Below are 23,081 nucleotides of genomic sequence, written 5' to 3'. Positions count from 1 at the left end.
GAAGGTTGCGGTGAGCTGAGATCGTGCTATTGCACTCAAGCCTTGGTGACAGAGTGAAACTCCACCTCAAAAAAGAAAAGAAAAAAAAAATTGTTGGTAAAATAAAAATAAAAATGTCTTCAGAATTCTTAGCATAAATTTTTGCCTGAGTTTACTGGTCAGAAAGTTCTATATTTGTCTCCGCTAGATGTTCTAAGGTCATAGACCCACAAATCCAGCCTTAAAAGCAAAATTATCTTTGTGTAATTCTTTGATGAATAAGGCTACTTTAATATTGTTTAAATTTTTTTTTTGTAGTGATGGAGTCTTGCTATGTTACTCAGGCTAGTCTCAAACTCCTGAGCTCAAGCAGTTCTCCTGCCTCAGCCTCCCAAAGTGTTGGGATTATAGATGTGAGCCACTGCACCTAGCCAGTAAAAAATTGTTTTAAAAAAGAACATGAATATATGTTTTTAATTTAAAAATAATAATTATATCTAATTCAGACATTATTTAAAGGTGGTTTCAAAATATAGATTTAAGAAGAAAATAAAAACAAGGCAAAGAAATCAATAAGTAGGAAGAGACATGCAAAGAAAATTATAAATATGAGAAGGTATCTTTGGTAAGAAAGATGAAAAAGATACATAACTTTGTATGAGAAAGAATCTTGTGTGGTAAAAATGATAAAGAAAAAGAAAAGCAAATTTTTGTCCTAAGGTAGAATAATTATTTGTTCCAATATTAAAAAAGAAAGTCTAAAACAAAATTAGGCCTAAGCAAGCCATAAGAGGTTTGAGCAACTTGCAAAAGGTTTGTGAAACATGAATCTTATGAAATAAATTTTGTATGTAATCAAGTTGGCTAAATTTAGAAGGAAATTGTTTATAAATTTTTCTGAAAATTGAATATACTGATACAAAACCCAAAACTAGTTCTCTATGTTTAAAGCAGCAAGGGTTTCCTGGAGTATCATTGCTCTTAGTTAAAAAAAAAATTACCACAGGTTTTGGTTTTTAATTCTGAAATCTGGCTGGATGTGGTGACTCACACCTGTAATCCTGGTGCTTTGGGAGGCCGAGGCAGGAGGATTGCTTGAGGCCATGAGTTTGAGACCAGCTTAGACAATATCATGAGACCCCAATCTCTACCAAAAAAAATTAAAAATTAGCCAGGTATGATGGTGCACACTTTTAGTTCCTCCCCCACCCCCCAACCTTCTCAGGAGGCTGAGGTGGGAGGATCAGTTGAGCTCAGGAGTTTGAGTCTGCAGTGAGCTATGATGGTACCACTGTACTCCAGCCTGGGCAACATAATAAGACCCTATCTCTAAAAAAACAAACAAACAAAAACCCTGAAATCTGATTCTTTAAATTTTTTACCATCTTCTGAACTATAACCTCTTCCTGTTTTATGGTTTCTGTTTAATTTCCCTAATTCTAGGTTTAGAATGCTATCTTTTAAATTAGTAAGTTACTTTCTCAAAATAGAGTCTTTCTCTTGAAGATTTTCAGATTTATGTCTCAGAAGCTCAACTTCTGCTGCACCTCATTGCACATGATTTGCAGGTCATACACCATTGCCTTCTGCTCTTCCTCCTTCTCCCCTTAAGAAGGCACACTTTTTTTTTTTTTTTTTGAGACGGATTCTCACTCCGTCACCCAGGCTGAAGTGTAATGGCATGGTCTTGGCTCACTGCAACCTCCGCCTCCTGGGTTCAAGCGATTCTCCTGCCTCAGCCTCCCGAGTAGCTGGGACTACAGGTGCATGACACCACACCCGGCTAATTTTTGTATTTTTAACAGAGACGGGGTTTCACTGTGTTGGCCAGGCTGGTCTCGAACTCCTGACCTCGTGATCCACCTGCCTCGGCCTCCCAAAGTGCTGGAATTACAGGCATGAACCACCGTACCCGGCCACACTTTTTTTTTTTCTTAATCAACTTAATGACTCACTCCCTTGACATTTTGGTAAGCTTCTGCATTTATTTTCTCTGGTTCTAACTCTGCTGTTGAGGCCTAATGCTGATATGTTTGTCTTAAAGGTCTAGAAAAGCAATGTTTTCCTCCAAGAATAACTTGATTCTGTGCTGTTGGCTTTTCTTGAAATGTCTGAATTATTCCATGTAACAAGGAAACTTAATGTGCTTTCACTTTTTCTAAGAGCCATATGTTTCCCTGCTCAAGGTACTTATTTTTTTTGTTTACTTCTTCTATAATATAGTGTATACTCATAACCTTGGACACACACTCATCCAGTGTCAATTTGAATTCAAGTACCTTTTCATTAGGTTAGATTTTCAGATTATCTAAAAGGACTTCCTATAAGAAGCAATTACACTGCAGGAGTATTTATTTTTTGGTAATTGGTCTAGGAAACAAAGATTCTGTGTTTTATCAAGGTAATTTCCTGTGCTTCATGCTGTCTTTATTGGTTTTTTGTTGTTGTCGTTGTTGTTGTTTTTGAGACAGAGTCTAGCTCTGTTGCCAGGCTGGGGTGCGGTGGCGTGATCTTGGCTCACTGCAACCTCCACCTACCGGGTTCAGACGATTCTCCTGCATCAGCCTCCCGAGTAGCTGGGACTACAGGTGTGTGCCACCACACCCGGCTAATTTTTGTATTTTTAGTAGAGACGGGGTTTCACCATGTCGGCCAGGATGGTCTTGATCTCTTGACCTCGTGATCCACCCACCTCAGCCTCCCAAAGTGCTGGGATTACAGGCGTGAGCTGCTGCACCCGGCCAGGTTTTTGATTACTTAGGAAAACTGAGTCTTTAGCCTTTTTTTTTTTTTAATAAAACATACATGCAACTTTCTGCATTTGCCTTTGGAATTTTTATTCTTTAAGATAGGGTCTCACTATGTTGTCCAGTCTGGCCTGAGACTTCTACACTTAAGGGATCCTCCCACCTCATTCTTCCAAGTTGCTGGGACTACAGGTGCACACCATCATGCTCAGCTTACTTTTAAAATCTTCAGTCACGATCCTTTTGTAGTTCATAAGGATGATGACTGAGTGTTCACACTCGTGTGTGAGATGTGCCACCCTCAGACCTTGAAATCTTCAGTCACTCTTGTTAAGTGAACAACTATTATTTCACTATGATCTGCAATTCTGTTTTAATTAAATGTTTTATACTTTTTGACATATTTGGCCAGCTTTCTCAATATCAGAGTTCTAAATGAAGTCTTTTCAACCTAGAATTATCTTTGAGATTTTCTAGTTGGGCTCCTGGAGAGCCTCAAACAATGTATTTTTCAGCTTGTAGAGCTGTTAAACTAATTAGGCTTGTTTGATGTATTGAGTTGTATGAGAAGCGTTGGAGGCACAGATGGGATCAAATAACAAAGTGACACTAAGTCTTCTCTAAGTTATATTTATATGGCTATGTTATTGATGTGAAAGATCTAAAAATTATGTAAAATTTATAAATGTTTGATGGTCCTAATGTGATACTGTTAGTCATTTTTCTGGTTGTTGTCTTAAAATGCTGTATGCAATAAACATAACTGAGTTTCCTTGTCAATTGCTGAACTCTCATCAGATTTTTAACCATGGCTGTTTTAAGCCTCTGTCTTCCACAGTTTTAATTCTTCTTTAAATGCATCTGCAATCAGATTCATGGAAAAGACTCTGGCAAGTACTCCTGAATATGGGTTTCTGATAAGTTTAAGATCAATGGACTAAATAAAGATATTCAGGACCCCCATGAAGAAACTGATAAATTCATGAAACTGACAACTAAGATTAAACAGAACAAAAATTAATTACATGAGATTAAATATCTAATGAAGACAGATATTTGAAACATTGTTGGTTTTTTACTTACATGTTTTGTTTTCCAGATTTAAGGAGACTTTCTCTCTCAAGATATCTATAGTTTACAACAATTTGGTAAAGTATACTTTTGTGAACAAAACTGGCAACACTTACTTTTTCTCTGTCCCTCCAAAATTTGGAAACTATTTGTGAGTATGCTTAATTTTTATGGCAATGAAGTTGTCTGCATAAGTTTAATTAGAAGCTGCTTTTTAAATAACAAGGTATAGTTGGAAACATTGGTTACGTTACCAGGCTTTTAAATGGAATGTCATATTTTAAGTTATTTATAGGTATAGCAGAAAAAGTCTGAAGTCTGCCGTAGATTAGCTTTCTAGCCTTGAGAAATTTTTAAAAGTCAAATCTGAGATTCCTATGTGGTCAATTACTATTTCTGCTGTGCTTGTGTGAATTTATCAGGCCAAATTTGATAAAACACAAATAACAACAAATTAGTCTTACTCGGATTATCTTTGGTAGAAATCAGAATGACTGTAGAAAGAAAAATCGTGTTTCTATGTTTCTGAAGAAAAGCTAGACTATACCTGTTATTAGATTGTAACCCTGTGTGGGGTATTTTTGTTTGTTTGTTTGAGTTTTTTTATTTACCTGTGGATTGAACTGGATCTTAAATTCTTCTAGGTTCCTCCAATCCACTTTTCTCCCATGGAATTACTAAGAATGGGAACTGCTCTTTCCTGAAGCCCTGTAAGCTGAAGTTAGACAACTTGATGTAAATTTCAAGGGTCAAGACTCACGCCTGATGTGTGGGTCACATCAAAAGTTCACCAAACCACCCAATGCCATAACCAGAGACATTTAAACTACAAACCAGAATGAGCAGTTGACATCTTCATGCTGTGGGCATGCTGTTCCTAAAATGATGGAATAAGATTTCCCGTCATAATGAGACTCTTGCCCCTCTGAATTTTTCCTTGCTTATGCCTAACTTTTTCACTTGGCATAATAATGATGTAATTAAAATTTCACATTCAGCAGCTTCTGCAGGGAACTTGACCAAATGTTGTATCTGTCATGCCAATCCTAAGTATTTACATAGCCTAAAAAAAAAAAAATCCTTTAGTGCATCCAATAGGTAACTTTAACAAAATCCCTAATACAACTGTCACTCTTTGCTTTAACTCAACCCAGTCATGAGATAATAGATGATAGAATTGCTCTTGATTATCCAGCTGAAAAAGGCAGTGTCTGTGCTATTGCTAACACTACATGCTGTACTCAGATAAATTCCTCTGGGGAAGTCGAGACCCAAATACACAAAATAAGAAAACAGGCCACATGGAAGCAATAGGTCTCACCTAATTCGACATAGTCATTTGATTTATTAGTCGGTTGCCTTTAAACCTTCGTTCATGGTTCAAAACTATTAGGCAAGCTGAAATTATCATAGTAGTATCAGTGATATTTTGTGTTTTCCTTTTTAAACTTTGTATCTGTTGTCTGTTAAATTTCTGCAGCAGTAGGACTTCTAACAATAATGCTGTCCCAGGGCTTTGAATGCTAGCCAATGCCTACGGAACAGACAAAATTAAACTTGACGATGGACTCTAGATAGACTTCGCCTGACAGGCACCCCCTCCAAACCTCCCTTGTTACTCAAATGTGGCTAAAAGGGTTTTGACACTTACTCCTAGTTGCCAGTTAATTCCTTCTGATGTGGGACCAGACTAACAACTCAGGACAGGTTACCTCCACACCAACAGACAGTCAAAAGCTAACCAAAAGATAATTAATCAAAGATGCTTTCAGAGAAAGATCTTGATCAAAAAAGAAAAGTACAAAAGTTATCAGAATCAAAATGGAATCACTTGTGTCAAACCAAATTGACAAATGAAGCCACGAAGGGGGGATCTCGTGCACATGCACCTGGTAACAAGAACAGTCACAAGGGACTACAAAAACAACCTTGCACAAAAGTTGCTACAATAGCCCACAAAAACTACTTCTGCGGGCCGGGCGCGGTGGCTCCCACCTGTAATCCCAGCACTTTGGGAGGCCGAGGCGGGTGGATCACCTGAGGTCAGGAGTTCGAGACCAGCCTGGCCAACATGGCGAAACCCCATCTGTACTAAAAATAAAAATAAAAAATTAGCCGCGTGTGGTGGCACATGCCTGTAATTCCAGGTACTCGGGAGGCTGAGGCAGGAGAATCACTTGAACCCAGGAGGCGGAGGTTGCAGTGAGCCAAGATCGCACCATTGTACTCCAGCCTGGGCGGCAAGAGTGAAACTCTGTCTCAAAAACAAAACAAAACAAAACAATCATTGTCTTCCTTTACTTCCCCGAATATACCCACCTGTACTCCCATTGCAATGCTCATTCCTCAGTAACAAACATCATTTTCTCTTGGAGAGCTTCTCTCTCTGTTATTTGGGTTGACCGAAGAATCGAGACCACACTCAGCGTCTGCCACTCCCTCAGTTCATTCATGAGCCAAGTGGTCAGAGGCAGCAGATCCTTGCACACGGGTTGCCATGCTTTTACTCATGTGACCTGTAGCCCTGAAGTAGCAGAGCTGTCATTGCTCCACTTATTTCCCTGTGACCTTTTAGTGGGCTCCAGCCCATTCCCAACTTCCGGTATTTACGACTCTTAGCCCAGAGGCTTTTTTATTTTCCGCAGAACTGAGAAAGGTGGCTCTTCCCAGACACAGGGGAGGGTGAAAGTGTCTGGGAATTAGCATCCTCAGAGAGCAGCCTTCAAACAGTAACAGTAGGAAGTTGGTATATAAATACATCTATTCCCTCCTCCTTTTGGTGGGATAATTCTGAAGCATATGTTTCATGGTGGGTTTCCCCCCAGGGAAGTAAACTCTAGTTGCCCACTATGGTAGCTTGCTTAATAACGCACTTTCCCTTCTTGTGTCACTTCTTTTTTTGGTGGGGGGACGGAGTCTCGCTCTGTCGCCCAGGTTGGAGTGCAGTGACACCATCTTGGCTCACTGCAACCTCCGCTTCCTGGGTTCAAGAGATTCTCCTGCCTCAGCCTCCCGAGTAGCTGGGATTACAGGTGCCCACCACCACAGCCGGCTAATTTTTTGTATTTTTAGTAGAGACAGGTTTTCGCCATGTTGGCCAAGCTGGTCTCGACCTCCTGACCTCAGGTGATCTGCCTGCCTTGGCCTCCCAAAGTTCTGGGATTACAGGTGTGAGCCACTGCGCCTGGCAGTCTTTGTGTCACTTCCACACTCACCTACCAGTCTGCCCTGCACCTTCCAAAGACAAACTTGTATTCAAATCCTTTCTTCTGAGAGAACCCATACTAATCACCAGACTCAACTGATTAGACAAGGAATGAGCCTTGACCCAAGACAGCCATTGTGGTTGGCCACAACTCTGCCCTGTACGTGATTATGGTTAGGAAAGCAACCCAACTTTTTCTCAGGGAGCACAGAAGGAAGAAACTAAAGTGGGAAAAAGGAAGAGTAACAAATGAGCTGGCTTTTGGGAATGGTGGCATCCTGGGGGAGGATAGTGTCCTCCTGAGTCCTGACTATACCATCCCACTGATGCGCTTCCCTGAGGGTGCCAATATGTCTGTGCACTTTTTTTTTTTTTTTGAGACGGAGTCTCACTCTATTGCCCAGGCTGGAGTGCAGTGGCACGATCTCAGCTCACTGCAAGCTCCGCCTCCCAGGTTCAAGAGATTCTCCTGCCTCAGCCTCCTGAGTAGCTGGGATTACAGGCATGCGCCACCACTCCCAGCTAATTTTTATATTTTTAGTAGAGGCAGGGTTTCTCCATGTTGGTCAAGCTGGTCTTGAACTCCTGACCTTCTGATCCACCTGCCTCGGCCTCCCAAAGTGCTGGGATCACAGGCGTGGGCCACCGCGCCCGGCCATCTGTGCACTTTTAAAACAATTTCCACCATCTGCCTCAACCTGAGCACAGCTTCTCTCACAATCTTAAAAGGCCCAACTCATGGAGACTTTAGAGTCAGACAGACCTCAGTTCAGATCAGTCTTGTGTGGTCTTCAATGAATGGCTTTCAGCCTCTGAGCCTCAATTTCCTCAGTTCTGAATGGGAGAACACTATCTCACATGTGTTTTTAAGGATTGAATAAAGCAATGGGTGCTAAGCAACCTGATGCATAGTTTGTTGTCAGTAAATGTAGCTCCGTCCCTTACCTGAGCTCTTCTGCAGATACTGGCATCTACAAATAGTTCCTGTCTTTTGGTTGCCATGGTGACCCTAGGCAAGCTATAAATTTCCCCTAATGAAGCTGGGATGTTTTCTCTTTTCGTGCTGTGCCTGTGTCTAGGATAGATTAAAAACTCTCAAAGGAGTCACATTTTAGAATGTGTAGTCTGACCATTTATAATCCACACCACCCACTTTGATACAGCCAAAAACAATCAAAGAGGGAAAACAGGTTCAACTCAGTCTTCCCTGAGCACAAAGGTGCTCTGTATTTTTGGTGGTTTAGGAAACAACTGGAGGGTGGGACTGACAACAATGGGAATTGTTGATTGGCTTTGGAAGGAAGACTTTGACCAGTTGGTGTCATTCAAGAGGCCATTGATCAGGCACAGTGGCTCATGCCTGTAATCCCAACACTTTGGGAGGCTGAGGTGGGAGGATTGCTTGAGTCCAGGAGTTCAAGACCAGCTTGGACAACATAGGGAGAATCTTGTCTCTACAAAGTAAAAAGAAATAAATTAAAACCTAGCCGGTTGTGGTGGTGTGTGCCTGTGGTTCCAGGTACTTGGGAGGCTGAGATAGGAGGATCGCTTGGACTCAGGAGGTTGAGGCTGCAGTGAGCCATGGTCATGCCACTGCACTCCAGCCTGGGCGACAAAGTGAAACCCTCATTAAGAAAAAAAAAAAGAGCCCATGAAGCAAGCTCTTCTTGGGTGCCCTTCATTTATTTTCCCTTTGGGTAATTCATTTCGATTCAAAACAGCACACACACCTGAGTACCTGATTGTACCAGGTCTAGAGCTAGGCATGAGGGTCTCAGATGTGAATCTAGCCCAGGATCTGCCTCAGGGAGCTCATGGTCAGCAACATCGCTTTCTTTCTTTGTAAGATGAAGATGTCAGAGTACACGATTTTTAAATTCCTTCTCACCTTGAGTTTCTACCATTTGTATGAATCTGAGGTCAATTCTCAGAAGAAGCCCATGAAGAAAGGTTTTACTTTGCCAGGCATGGTGGCTCATGCCTGTAATCCCAGCACTTTGGGAGGCCAAGGCAGGCAGATCACAAGGTCAGGAGTTCAAGACCAGCCTGGCCAATATGGTGAAACCCGCGTCTCTACTAAAAATACAAAAATTAGCTGGGCATGGTGGTGGGTGCCTGTAGTCCCAGCTACTTGGGAGGCTGAGGCAGGAGAATCACTTGAACCTGGGAGGCGGAGGTTGCAGTGAGCCAAGATCGTGCCACTGCGCTCCAGCCTGGGCAACAGAGCAAGACTCCGTCTCAAAATAAATAAATAAAGGATTTACTTAAAGACAAAGATAAGGGTGAGAGACGATTGAGATGTCATGGATTTTTGCCAAGTACCAAAACGCTCACCTAGCATCTCTCTTTCCATAAGTTAAAAAAAAAACTGTCACGTTAACAGGGACCCTGGCATGTAAATAATTTGTGTCCACCACTGAGGTTCAAAATGTCTGGACCAGACATCTATAGTCTGTTCTGCTTTAACATTTGTTTTGAAAATGCAAATTTGTTCCAATGCAATTGATATATTGAAGAACAATTTGAGCATAATGCAAATTTTGCATTTGTTTACGTGTGATTTCATCCACAGGACACTAGGTGAAAACAGAAAACTGCTTCCAGCTGAACTGAGCCATACAGTGTCAAGTGAAAAACAAATCTAGACCAAGGTAAGAAAACTTTTATTTGAAGATTTTTCACAAAGGTCAGTGGACTATTGCAAAAGAAAGAACACTTTAACCACGAGATTTGTAAGCATCTCCAGGGTTAGGCAAAACCAGTTTTTCTTTTATGGAGAGAAGTAAACAAGGCTAGAAAGAACCAGTGTGAACACTAAGATAAAAGGCCGTGTGTGATCAAATAGAGCAGATCAGAGAATGTCAGCCTGCTCCCAGGAGGATCTCTCATAGGGAGGGGCTGTCTGCTGGCTGAGGTTGAGGGTGGGCCAAGGCTCAGGAGCCTCAGGGAAAGAGAGGAGCTTAACCTGAGTTTAGTTAACAAGGATTTTGTTTCTGATTGATCAGTGGGGCAAACCAGTTCAGCTAAGCATTTTACAAGGCTTATGAGAACAGCAGTTTGGAGGATCTGTGTCTGGCCTTGTCATAGGTTAACAAGGGGGCTTCCATGAGGCTTATCTAAGTCACATGTGAAGTGTCACTCTTTGTAGTAAGCTGTTTCCAGAACACAGAAGGGTGACAGGATTTCTTTACCTATTGCTGTCTTCCGGGATAAGAGGACTCCAATAAAATTCAACAGCATCCACAGGAATGCTGAATAGGAATTCAACAAAACATACAAATACATACACTTCAAACACCTACTAGCTGTCTCAGTTCTCCAGGTGGGTGTGTTATAAGCCATACCTCCCTACAAATGGTGTTACAGCTGATGTTCCGATTTCAGATGACCCTCCTTCTGTCAGAGGCATTTGAACCGGAGTGACTCCATCTTGAATATGGGGCTGGGTAAAATAAGGCTGAGACATACTGGGCTGCATTTCCAGGAGGTTAGGCATTCTTAGTCACAGGATGACATAGGAAGTTGCCACAGGTCACAAAGACCTTGCTTGAAAACAGCATGTGGTAGAGAATCTAGCCAAATCCCACCAAAACCAAAATGACCATGAAAGTGACCTCTGGTTGTCCTCACTGCTCATTATACACTTATTATACTACTAAGAGACACTCCCACCAGTGCCATGACAGTTTACAAATGCCATGGCAACATCAGGAAGTTAGTCCCTATGGCTGGGCACGGTGGCTCACGCCTGTAATCCCAGCACTTTGGGAGGCCAAGGTGGGTGGATCACGAGGTCAGGAGATTGAGACCATCCTGGTTAACACGGTCAAACCCCGTCTCCACTAAAAATACAAAAAATTAGCCAAGTGTGGTGGCGGGCGCCTGTAGTCCCAGCTACTCAGGAGGCTGAGGCAGGAGAATGGTGTGAACCTAGGAGGCGGAGCTTGCAGTGAGCTGAGATCACGCCACTGCACTCTAGCCTGGGTGACAGAGGGAGACTCCATGTCAAAAAAAAAAAAAGGAAGTTAGTCTGTATGACCTAAAAAGGGGAGGAACCCTCAGTTCCGGGAATTTCCCACCCCTTTCCTGGAAAACTCATGAATAATCCATCCCTTGTTTAGCATATAATTAAGAAATAATGATTAAAAACAGCCAACCAGCAGCCCTTGGGGCTGCTCTGCTTATGTAGTAACCATTCTTTTGTTTCTTTACTTCTCTAATAAACTTGCTTTTACTTTACTATATGGACTCACCCCAAATTGTTTCTTGCACAAGGTCCAAGAACCCTCTCTTGGGGTCTGGATTGGGATTCCATTCTGGTAACACTTCTGCCACTGCACAGTATCTCACAAGCTGTCACTCTTTCTTGAACTTTAAACTTCAGGTTTTATTCAAGATAAACTGCCACATTTATTGTAGTGTGTCTTAGTCCGTTTTGTGTTGCTACAACAGAATACCACCAACTGGGTAATTTATAATCAACAGAAATTTATTTGGCTCACGGTTCTGGAGGCTGGGAAGTCCAAGAGAATGGCACTGGCTTCTAGCAAGGGCCTTCATGCCGCATCATGCCATGGTGAAATGCTGAAGGGCAAGAGAGCACATGAGTGAAAAAGAGAGAGAAAGAAGGGAAGGGCGCTGAACTCATCCTTTTTATCAGGAACCCACTCCCACAATAACTAACCCAGTCCCGTGATAATAGCATTAATCTATTCATTAGGGCAGTGCCATCATGACCTAATCACCTCTAAAATGTGCCACTTCTCAACAGTGCTGCATTTGGGGATTCAGTTTCCAACACATGAAATTTGGGGGACACATTCAAACAATAGTATGGCGTTTATGTCTTTCTTAACCATCTAATATGTGTGAGACTGTGCTACCATTTTTATTAGTTTCCTAACTTTCTTTTAATGTGTCACTGACAATGCTTTTGAGTGTGCCTTAACTCCATTTTTCCATAAGCCCTATGATTTTATTTTATTTTATTTTATTTTATTTTATTTTATTTTATTTTATTTTACTTTGAGACAGAGTCTTGTTCTGTTGCCTAGGCTGGAGTGCAGTGGCACAATCTTGGCTCACTACAGCCTCCGCCTCCTGGGTTCAAGAGATTCTTGTGTCTCAGCCTCCCAAGTAGCTGGGACTACAGGTGTGCACAATGCCTGGTTGATTTCGTATTTTTAGTACAGATGGGGATTCATCTTGTTGTCCAGGTTGGTCTTGAACTGCTGACCTGAGCTGATCCACCTGCCTCAGCCTCCCAAAGTGCTGGGATGGCAGGCATGAGCCACCACACCTGGCCTACCCTGTGATTTTTAATCACACAATTTTATATAGCACAATGATTTTCAGGAACACATAAGTCATCTTATAGTGGAACTGACTATTTGCAGCACAGTCAGCTCTTAGGAGAGGAAGCAGCCCAGGGTAATGGCACTGCACAACTCCAGGGACAGTGTTTACATGGCATCTTCTGTGGTGTGTATTCTGTGGAGTGTGCCCATAGGACCATGAATGTTTTGTGCCTAGCACAAGGGTTCGCAGCTGAGATGTGGACAGGGGCTGAGATCCAATGCTTACTCTGCCTGCCAAAGCCATCACATTCTCTGTCCACCCAGAGGGAGCTCCTGTTCCTAGCTCATAACACAAAAGAGGAGAAAAAGAGTTTTAATTGCATTTGGAATTGAAGTGAAATAATTGAACAAACAGAATTGTATCATAAATGTCAAAATGAGATTTTACTAACAGCCTAAAACAGTGCTTCCAAATCTCAAAGAAAAGGATGACATTTGTTGACCACTCGGCCAAGGCAACTGGCCAAGAGCTCTGACAGCCCCAGGCCCTACCCAGGCTACTCAGAGGGTTAAGGGATTTATTTCTCCATCTGTCCTGCACCTTAATAGTTCAGTGTGCTGTGGCACCTTAATTGGATACCTCTGACCAAAAGTGAAGGTAAATTAAGGAACCTTACCAAGATGACATCATGGAACTCATTATTCAATGGGAAAGGCAAAGTGGGGGCGGGGGGGGGGCAGGGAAACAGGGGAGGTATGTGTTAGTTAGTGCACCTACTGAAAGAGGGGAAGCAATTTCTATATTAAGGGGACCACACACTCTAATTTGCCCAGGACACTCCTGGTTTATGCATCCTTTTTCGTCCTCAGAAGGGTCCTAGTAACCCTATTTATACTCCAAAAGTTAACACTTCTTAATCAATAATTGGTGAAACACACTGTGGTATTGTGTGTGTGTATATATATATATATATATATATATATATATATAATTTGGTCCTTGTCCTGTCCCTGGTTTTTGACAAGGAGCTCCTAAATCCTTTGACATTTTTTGAGTGAAAGGAGTGTCTTTTGTTACTCAAAGGAGACTTTGGGTCCTTATCTGTCTCCAGCCATATATGAAAGTGTATGTGAATAAGGTCAATCTTGTTGGGCACCTAGATGACTTCAGGATGGGGCTGGTCATCAGAGGAATCAATCATGTGATTACAGGGATGCAACATCCAGTCCCACTGGGGAGGGGACAGGGGCAGGAGTTTCAGCTCAATCACCAATAGCCAATGATTTAATCAACCATGCCTATGTAATGAAATTGCCATAAAATCCCCCAAAGGAGACAGAAGGGTTTCAGAGCTTCTGAGTTGATGAACACATCCATGGATGGAGAGGGTGGTGCACCCTGACTCCACAGGGACAGAGGCTCCTGAACTCGGGACCCTTCCAGACTTTACCCTATGCCCCTCTTCATCTAGCTGTTCATTCGTATCCTTTATAATAAACTGTAGGTATAGTATTTTCCTGAGTTCTGTGAGTCATTCTAGCAAATTATAGTACCTGAAGCAGGCATGGGCCATGGGGATTTCTGAATTTGTAGCCAAATTGGACAAAAGTGCAGGTAGCCCAGAAACCCAGGACTTATGGCTGGCGTCCCAAGTGAGGGCTGTCTTGTGGCACTGAGCCCTTAAACCTATGGAGTCTGACACTAATTCTGGTTAGTCGATGTCAGAATAGGATCGGATTGTTGTACACCTAGTTGGTGTCATGGGAATCAGAGACAGTCCATCAAGTTTTAATTGTAACCCCCTCTAGAAGACAAATGGTCTGGGGACAGATCTTAGTAACAGATGCCAGACTGAGTATTACCATCCCCTTCAACATTAGAGGTGGTGATACTCGGCCATGGACTTCCCAGCTCTTCCCTTGAAGTGCAACAGGACCACCATGTTTGCCCACCTCCTCAGGCACCATTCACAGTGTATTTTATGTGAAGGTGTGGAGTTCATCTTTTTTAATTCCTAGGGAGTAAGAATTCAAGGTGACCTTTCTGGCACCCTCTCTACCTGATCAGCCTCCGCCATGCCATTTCGTAAGTATTTTCCCCAGCTCAAGTAGTAGATGAGAAGTTTTGCAAATCAGCTGGCTAAACAGATGTCCAACGGTGGAACAGACTACCAGTGTCCTTTCTTGCAGACACCCCAGTTTGAGCCCTATGTCTGTCTTGGCCTTAGGGAAAAGACAAAGGGGTATCCCTGGATGAACACCGTACTACCCACTGGCCAATGACCTCTAATATTTTTTGGGAAAGGTGTGGACCAATTTCATTTTTTCTCAGTAAGCCTTGTGAGAATACGCATGCTCTGAGAAGGGAATACTATCAGGTGGGTGACTTGATTGACGTGTCACCACAATGGTCCTGTTGCTTAGAAATCCATCAGTCCTTTGTGCATACCCCGTACTTCTGGGACTGTTCACCTGAATCAGTGACCAATGGTTTTGGCTAAAAGTTACAAAACCCATCCAATAGTGGCTTAAATGAAATAGACCTTATTATGTCTCCTAGAAGACTAGGAGCCAGAGGATGCAGGGCCGCTCAGAGGTGATGAGCACTGGGATCAACAGCCCAGTTTCTTCCTATCTTTTGGCTCCGCCTAAGCTGTTAGTTTTTCATGTTCACACTTGTCATCTCAAAGTCACAAGATAGCAATTAGGCATAAACTCTGCTACCAACCTTCCAAAGCAGAAAGAACAGGCATGGTCCAAAAGTCTTTTCTTTCTTCTTTTTCTTCTTTCTTTTTTTTTTTTTTTTTTAATAGAGATGGGGTTTCACCACATTGGCCAGGCTAGCCTCGAACTCCTGACTTCAAGTGATCCACCTGCCTTGGCCTCCCAAAGTGCTGGGATTAAAGGTGTGAGCCACCTGTAATCCAGCCCAAAAGCCTTTTCTTTCTGAGGCTCTGTCTTTTTTCTAGGAATTGAGGGTCGCACACTGACTTCCCTTAGGTCTCTTTGTCCAAAACTGGGGTTGGAAACACTCAAAAAGGGGAATGGGATTGCCAGGGCTGGCATAGACACATGATGACTCATTTCTGGAGTTGAGGGAAGGATCTTGCCCTTACAACAAGCCGGGGAAAGGGGTGGAGGGGCGGGTAACGGTCACCCCTCTGAGTGCCAACCTTGACCATCTATCTTGCTTGCCCATCAGTTCTTCAGTGCATCTGCACCTCCAATGTCCGTGCCCTTCTTGCAGACACCCCAGGTGGAGGCCTTTCCTCTTTTCTCTCTCCCAGCAATACTGGACTTTTCCACAGGAGTGGGTAGCACTCAATAAATGTTTCTTAAATAAATGAAGACAAAAAAATGTTTTAAAAAATGATTTTATGGAGGGTGTGGGGAGTATAGAATTTGGAAGAAACATATTTCATAGAATTATTAGACAAATAGAGCCCAGAGATCAGGAATTCATTGCCAGGAGCCCATGACTGGGTGTCAGCGGGTTCCATGAAACCCTGAGATTGCATGACACATTTTGCATGAATGTGTATATAAATTTTGGGTAGGGTGTGTCCTTGGTTTATAGCACATGTAAGATTCTGCAACCTCTAAAAGACTCAGAAAGCCCACCCCAAATGGCCAAGGGCAACACCCTCAATTACCGGTGGGCAAAGTAGTAGCCAGCATCCTCCAAGGAATGACAAGCTAGCAGGACTGAGCTTCTGACTCCCAGGACCTCTCCTCCTAAAGCCACAGACTCCATTGTTTCTATTTTTAAAAGGCCAGTCCAAAAGGTGTTATTATTCTCTGTCTCCCAGCACAGCTTGGAGCAGAGTGGCCAGACTAGGGAAGGAGTCTCTCGTGATGACTCACCACCATCCTCCCCTGAGTAATGGCCTTCAGGCTCTATCACTCACTTGTGCTGACGCACTAGACTGGAAAAAGCTGACCCTGAGTCAGTGGTTATATGGACACATAAAACCCTGGGAGGCGGGACCAAAGAGAAGGAGCTGAGCTGGAGGTAAAGCCAGTGCCCACCACCCAGACCCACACCTCCCCAACCCCAAGGGAGAAAGGTAATTTACTTAGGCAAGAGCCAGGTGAGCTACTGGATCAGTGTTAAAACTCCAAGCAGCCCCTGCATAGTGGATAGCTTGTAGGTGAAGATGGAGAATGGGAAGAAGGCCCACCTCTCCCTCAATAGGCAGCTCCTTCCCACTTTTGGGATGGAGAATAGCTGCGGTTGAGTTTGGCTTGGGAGGCTCAGTGAGTTAGTTAGGACCCCACCCCACATAATTCAGAGTGTGTGAGGCTGGGTGCAGTGGCTTACGCCTGTAATCCCAGTACTTTGGGAGGCCAAGGTGGGAGGATCGCTTGAGGCCAGGAGTTTGAGACCAGCCTGGGAAACACAGGGAGACCCCCTCCTCTGCCCCATCTCTACAAAAAAAAATTTTTTTTTTTTAATTAGCCGGACTTGGTGGCCTGTGCCCATTATCCCAGCTACTTGGGAGGCTGAAGGGGGAGGGATTGCTTGAGCCTGGAAGGCTGAGGCTGCTGTGAGCTGTGTGGTTGGACCACTGCACTCTAGCCCAGGCAACAAAGCAAGACCCTGTCTCAAAAAAAAAAAATAATAATAATAATTAATGAAATTTAAAAAATACAAAAACAAACAAACAAACAAAAAACAACCCACACATTGTTGTGTGAGAGCAGGCCCGGGACAGTTTTCCAGCTCCCAAGGTGTGCACCCTGGTCGGTAAGCCCTGGATTTGTTATGTGATCTTGGGAAACTCATTTGGCCTCCCTGGTCCTCCGTTGGTTTCCTTAATAGAAAGTTAAGGGGTTGCACTAGGTCAGTGGTTCTACATATTCCTCCCTAACAACCTCTGACTCCACAAAGGTAACCCTAGGCAAGCCATGGAGGGGAAGGGTCCCAGTGAGGGGCCTTAGAGACTAGGAGGAGAGGTGCCTTGGGGGACAAACGAGAGGGCCCCTTGGAAAAGGAAGGACACTGGCCTCTGGACATTTCATGCTGATGGGATTCTGCAGCATGGCTGCCCTTTAGAAGTGAAGAGCTTTGGCCAGGCTCACACCTGTAGTCCCAGCACTTTGGGAGGCTGAGGCAGGAGGATTGCTTGAGCCTAGGAGTTTGAGACCAGCCTGGGCAACATAGTGAGACCCCATCGATATTTTTTTAAAAAGAAATGTGGAGCTTTGTAAAATCAGAATTGCTTTCCCCAGACCTACTGATTCAGAGTCTTGCAGGGATAGAGACTGGAACTTGGACTTTCAGAAAGCTCTCCAGGACATTCTAAAGCAGCAGAGATTGTGCCTGTGAATAGCCACTGCACTCTAGCCTGGACAACATAGTGAGACCCCATCTCTGTAGAAGAGGGAGAAGGAGAAATAAAGTAGCAGGGGCTGGAGATCTAAGATCTGGGCCCACTCAAGGTCAAGGTGCTGCTGACCACCTCTTTCCCAGTTGCCCCCTGGCCACAGTGGAGATGCCCATTCCAGGAGGCAGCCCCCACCTCAAAAGAAAGGAAAAGAACAGAAAAGAAAAGAAGAACAATGGGGTCCAGACTTCAGCAGGTCCTCCAAGAGCAGCCGACCTCCTGCTTCCAGGTGTTCCAAGTGCATCAGTTCACACACATCTGTTGCCAGAGCCACAAGTCTATCGAGATCCTGAGTGGAAATATCTCCATCATTTAGCTGGTGACAGAGGCAATACCAAGAACAGTGTACTTACAATCGCTAGAGAAAAACATTGAATGGATTTTGAATAGCTGCAGAACGGCTCACACAGTGCACACAAATTCATTATCAGACTTGGCTCCACTCCTTTCAGGCGTGCCTCAGGCATGATAGGTTTCTGAAATTTGCATTCCTAAATGGAGGATGCTGATGCAGAAAGCAGGCAGCCGAGATGGGATTGGAGGAGGGAAAGATTCACAAGTGAGTTGGGTGGCGGTTGCTAGGAAAAGAACAATGTTGGTTGGAACTGTTGAGTTACAATGACAGAGTCCCAACTCTTGGCGGTTGAAGGAGAAAAGGAGATTTACTGGCGTCATGGAAGAGCTCAGAGTGACTCTGTGTCTTACAGAGTCTCTCTGCAGCCCCTGGTTCTGCTTTCCTCTGTGAGAACTTCCGTCTTGGCCAGGCCCTCACAAAGTGGCAACACAGGTGGCCACCAATGGTTCCGGCTTAGCTACTGCAGGGAAAGAATTCTTCTTTGTCCCAGAAGAGCCAGCCAAAGTCTGAGGGTGGACTCTCAGGGGCAGGCTTGTGACATCTGGACATCCCTGAACAGAGCACAGTGGCCAGGCCTGGAGCCGAACCATGAGGTGTGCCTCACTCAGACCGCAGAAACTGACATGACAGAGTGGCTTCTTCAGGGAGAATTAGGATGCTGTTATTAGAAGGAGGCGAGATGCTGGGAAGGCACGCAGGAGCTCTTCCCAGCCACTGCGGCAGGAGTGAAAAGCACTTGCTCTTGTTTCTGTCATGTGCTGAGCTCACTTCTATTACAGATTTTTCTAGGTGGTCATTTCTTTATCTGCATGTCTTCCCTGCTGGTTATGTATCCTCTCTCAGGCAGGAGCTGTGACCTCTATCATCTTTAAACTTGCAGATTTACAGAGGTGGTTAATAAGTCTTACTAGATGGGGTAAATAGCACAAGACTGGGATTAGAGAATTCTGAGTTTCTGTCTGGATTCTATGTGTAGACTTGTGTGCAGCCTTTGAGCAAGTGCTTTCTTCTCCTTCGGCCTCTTTCTAATGCACTGGATGAGGGTCAGCAAACGTTTTCTGTAAATTGCCAGATAGTGAATATGTTAAGCTTTGTGGGCCATATGGTCTCGGTCATGAACATTCAACTCCACCACTGCTGCCCAAAAGCAGCCAAAGACAGTACATGAGCAAGTGGGCACTGCTGTGTTCAAATAAATAGAAATAGGCAGTTCATGGGCAAAGTAAATGATTGCTGTTGGGTTTTTTTGCTTTTTGTTTTTATTTGTATTTTTGTTATTCTTTTTTCCTGACCATGGCAAGGACTGTTAAAACTGTCATTTTAAGCTGCTACATTTCCTTCTTCTTTCTTTCCTTCCTTCCTTCCTTCCCTCCTCCTTTCCTCCCTTCCTCCCTTCTCTCTCTCTCTCTCTCTCTCTCTGTCTCTCTTCTCTGTAAGCCAGGCTGGAGTGCGGTAGCGCTATCACAGCTCACTGCAGCTCAATTTCCTGGGCTCAAGGGATCCTCCCACCTCAGCCGAGTAGATGGGACTACAGACGCATGCCACCACACTCAGCTAATTTAAATTTTGTTGTTGTTGTTGAGATAGGGTCTCACTCTGTTGCCCAGTCTGGTCTTGAGCTCCTGGACTCAAGCAATCATCCCACCTCAGCATCCCAAAGTGCTGAGATTACAGACATGAGGCACTGTGCCCAGCAGCTGCCAAATTTTCTAGTGGCCTATCACATAGCAATAGTTAAAGGGAACAGTCATCCAGCAGAGGGTGGCAAACTATAGCTAGACAGCCACATTTGGGACTCCACTGGTTTTTGTTTAAAAAAAAAAATCAGCCGGAAGATACTTCTTCACGTGGACTTCTCCACAGGGCTGCCTGGGCTTCCCCACAGTATGGCAGCTGTGTTCTAAGAGTAAATTTTCCAAGAGATGAGAGGTAGAGGCTGTCAGTGTCTCAAGGCCAGGGTTCAGAAACTGGCACAGTGTCACCATACATTATTGGAAATCCACCAACTGCCCCAGATGAGTTCCCAGCTGACAGCCAGCCCCAGCTTGCCAACCACAGAAGTGAGCCATCTTGGAAGTGGATCGTCCTGCCCCAATTGAGCTTCCCCAGCTGATGCTTCCTGGAGTGCAGCATCACTGCCTTGAATCTGGGAGCTGGCCCTAAAAGGCTGGGTGATGTTTCAGCTCAAGGGAGGGTATTTTGAATAAAATATTCAGAAGGAAGGCTGGAAAAGAAGTGGACCAAATTGCAGATTTGCAATTTTGCAGTTGCGGAGCCCACCCAGATTCAAGTTTTGACATTCCTCCTATAGGTGGGGACTGTGTCTCTTCCACTTAAATCATGAACTCCAAGGACTCTGCCAGTTCAGGTGTCCTGTGGTTTTAAAGATTCAATAGTCGGCCTTGGATACCAGCAGCTTCTTGCTAATTCCCTAAGCTGACTCTGTAAAAGAGCATCACCCTAACCCATACCTTGATCTCTGAGGTCCTTGACCTCTATAGTGTCCTTGCAATCCATGCCTCCCCTCATTTCTCACTGTCACCATTCAGAACAGCCTGAGAGCTGCAATGGTCTCTTCACTAGTTGCTTGGTTTCCAGTCTATGTAAATGTGACTCTAAAGTTATCCTGCTAGAATGCTTCTCTCCCTAGTGCTTCCTAGATCAATATCTTCACTGACTTTCCACTGCCTGGAGAACAAAACCCCAGACAGGGTTCCACTTCCTTTTCCAGGCTTACTTCTGAATACTTTATTCGAAATGCCCTGCCTTGAGCTGAAAAGTCACATCCTTTGCCCAAAATTTCTAATTCTCTCTCCCATTCTTACAAATGAAACATCACTCAGCCTTTTAGGGCCAGTTCCCAAAAGCCCCTTGATGCTCTTCCTAATTCTTAGACTCTAGTTGTGTAGTTATTATCATATGGTGTCAGGCTTAAGCCAGCTTTTTATTTTATGCTTTGTTATTTTCTCATCCCTGTACCAAATACAGGGACCAAACCTCATTCCTCTCTGTGGCTTTGCATACAGAGGGTTTTTGGTAAGAGCCTGGTGAATTGAAGTCAACAGAATTATGGACCTCAACTTCCTTGCCACCCCTCTTTCCTGCCTCCCCAGGATAGGCAAATCCCAGGAATCAGGGCTGCAATGTCCCTGGCTGGCCAAAGCTGAGATGGGAGGCTGTAGCAATGAACCCTTTTCTTGTGCCTCTTGAACTTGACTCCAGGATATGAGCAACAGGAGCTGATCTTTCCAGGAAGGGCTTATGCATGCAGAGGCCCAATACCATCCTGCCCCAGCACCCTCCCAGAGAAGATTGAGTAGCCTGCACCATTAGAAACCAAGTTTTCTTCCTGGCTTGTTCATTTACCCAACTAACTGGATTCTCACTTTTAGTCTATGCCTTTACACTTATACCTAACTCTGACCAAGGTCCCTTCTGAGCCCAGAATCCCCAGTAGCAACCCTTGGTTCTTAGGATGACATTCGGTCTCATTATGCTGACAGCTGGGGACCTTGATGATCTGGTTCCTGACTATGTGTCCAACTTCATTACTGTCAAATCTCTCCCCTTGAATGAGGCTACCCCAACCCATTATATCATGTACTTTAGTCACTGAACTATTTGGAATCTTTGAAAAGATTGAGCCTCTTTGATGCCTTGGGATCTTTCCTCTTCCTACACTCTTTCATGTTCCTAGGATGCCCTCCTTGCTCTGTCTAAACCTTTCCTCATTCCCCTCATCCTCTCTGAACTAGGTTAGGATACTCCTACAGCCCCCAGTACTTCCCTTCACTATCACAACAATTGCATTGCGTTGCTAGCACTGGTTTTGATGACTGTTCCTCACTATCCTCACTGGACTGTGATCTCTTAGAGGGCAGCGATTTGAGCTTTTTTCCTTTTCTAATGCCAATGCCTGGCACAGAGCCTGGCACTTGGTTGGCATTCAGTAAATCTATATTGGATAGGACAAATGGTTGCTCATTATTTTTTAGGCAATTCTAAAACAGTATAATAAACTTTAAAAGTGAAATAATATACTGGATAAAGCAAACAAACAAACAAACAAACTCAAACAGTTGTTAAATATGTGGTCAAGAATTAATACATTAGCTGGGTGCAGTGGCTCACACCTATAATCCCAGCACTTTGGGAGACCGAGGTGAGTGGATCACCTGAGGTCAGGAGTTCAAGACCAGCCTGGCCAACATGGTGAAACCCCATCTCTACTAAAAATACAAAAATTAGCCAGGCAAGGTGGCGCATGCCTGTAGTCCCAGCTACTGAGGCAGGAGAATCTCTTGAACCTGGGAGGCAGAGTCTGCAGTGAGCCGAGATCGCACCACTTCACACCAGCCTGGGCTACAGAGCAAGACTCCATCTCAAAACAAAAACAAAACAAAACAGAACAAAAAAGAGTTAATGCATCTACACTACAATGATCTTTTATAAAGCAATAAGAAAAAAATTAACCTCCAAAGAGCAATAGGCTAAACACATGAACAAAAAAGAATAAACATTAAGGACCAATAAATATATGGAAAAATGTCCAATAAAGCATTACAAATTAGACATCATGCCATTTCACCTTCATATTAGTAAAAATAAAGAGAAATGGCAACGGTTAGATTTAATGAGGTTGTAGGGAAAGAGATACTCCCATGAACTTCTGGTCGCACATCCCTGAGCTCAAATTTACAATATGTTCTAAAAGCCTTTAAAATGTGCAGGCTCTGTTATTCAACTATTTCCTTTTTAAAATGTTTATTCCAAGGAGCTAACCAGTAATACATACACAACTTCACATAGAGCTCTCACTAATTCCTCATTATTTCCTGATTGACTGCTCTGCCCCTCAGAACAGACTGACATTACGGTCACAGGAGATGATAGTATCTTACCACGAACTTAAGGACAAGAGCAGAAAATACCTTCGTAAAAGTGAAAGATTTTTATGATCTGATGGTGGTTTGATTATTGGCTGGCGACCTGTGGGAAGCGTTTCTGGAGTTGTAATAAAGCTGAGTCAACAAGTTCATC

General features: G+C 43.7%; 1 long non-coding RNA gene and 1 other non-coding gene across 2 annotated transcripts; both read left to right on the top strand.

Moving 5' to 3' along the window:
* The first annotated feature begins 1,872 nt into the window (after positions 1-1,872).
* Positions 1,873-9,653, top strand: LOC105376229 (uncharacterized). Its single transcript, XR_930260.2, has 3 exons — positions 1,873-1,949; positions 3,826-3,948; positions 9,575-9,653. It is a non-coding gene; the product is annotated as an uncharacterized LOC105376229 (long non-coding RNA).
* LOC124902352 (small nucleolar RNA U13) lies at positions 2,964-3,066 on the top strand. Its single transcript, XR_007061926.1, has one exon. It is a non-coding gene; the product is annotated as a small nucleolar RNA U13 (small nucleolar RNA).
* Positions 9,654-23,081: the final 13,428 nt, after the last annotated feature.

The sequence above is a fragment of the Homo sapiens genome, chromosome 9 (genome assembly GCF_000001405.40).
Source record: "Homo sapiens chromosome 9, GRCh38.p14 Primary Assembly".
Taxonomy (NCBI): domain Eukaryota; kingdom Metazoa; phylum Chordata; class Mammalia; order Primates; family Hominidae; genus Homo; species Homo sapiens.
This window is presented reverse-complemented; position numbering and strand designations above follow the sequence as displayed.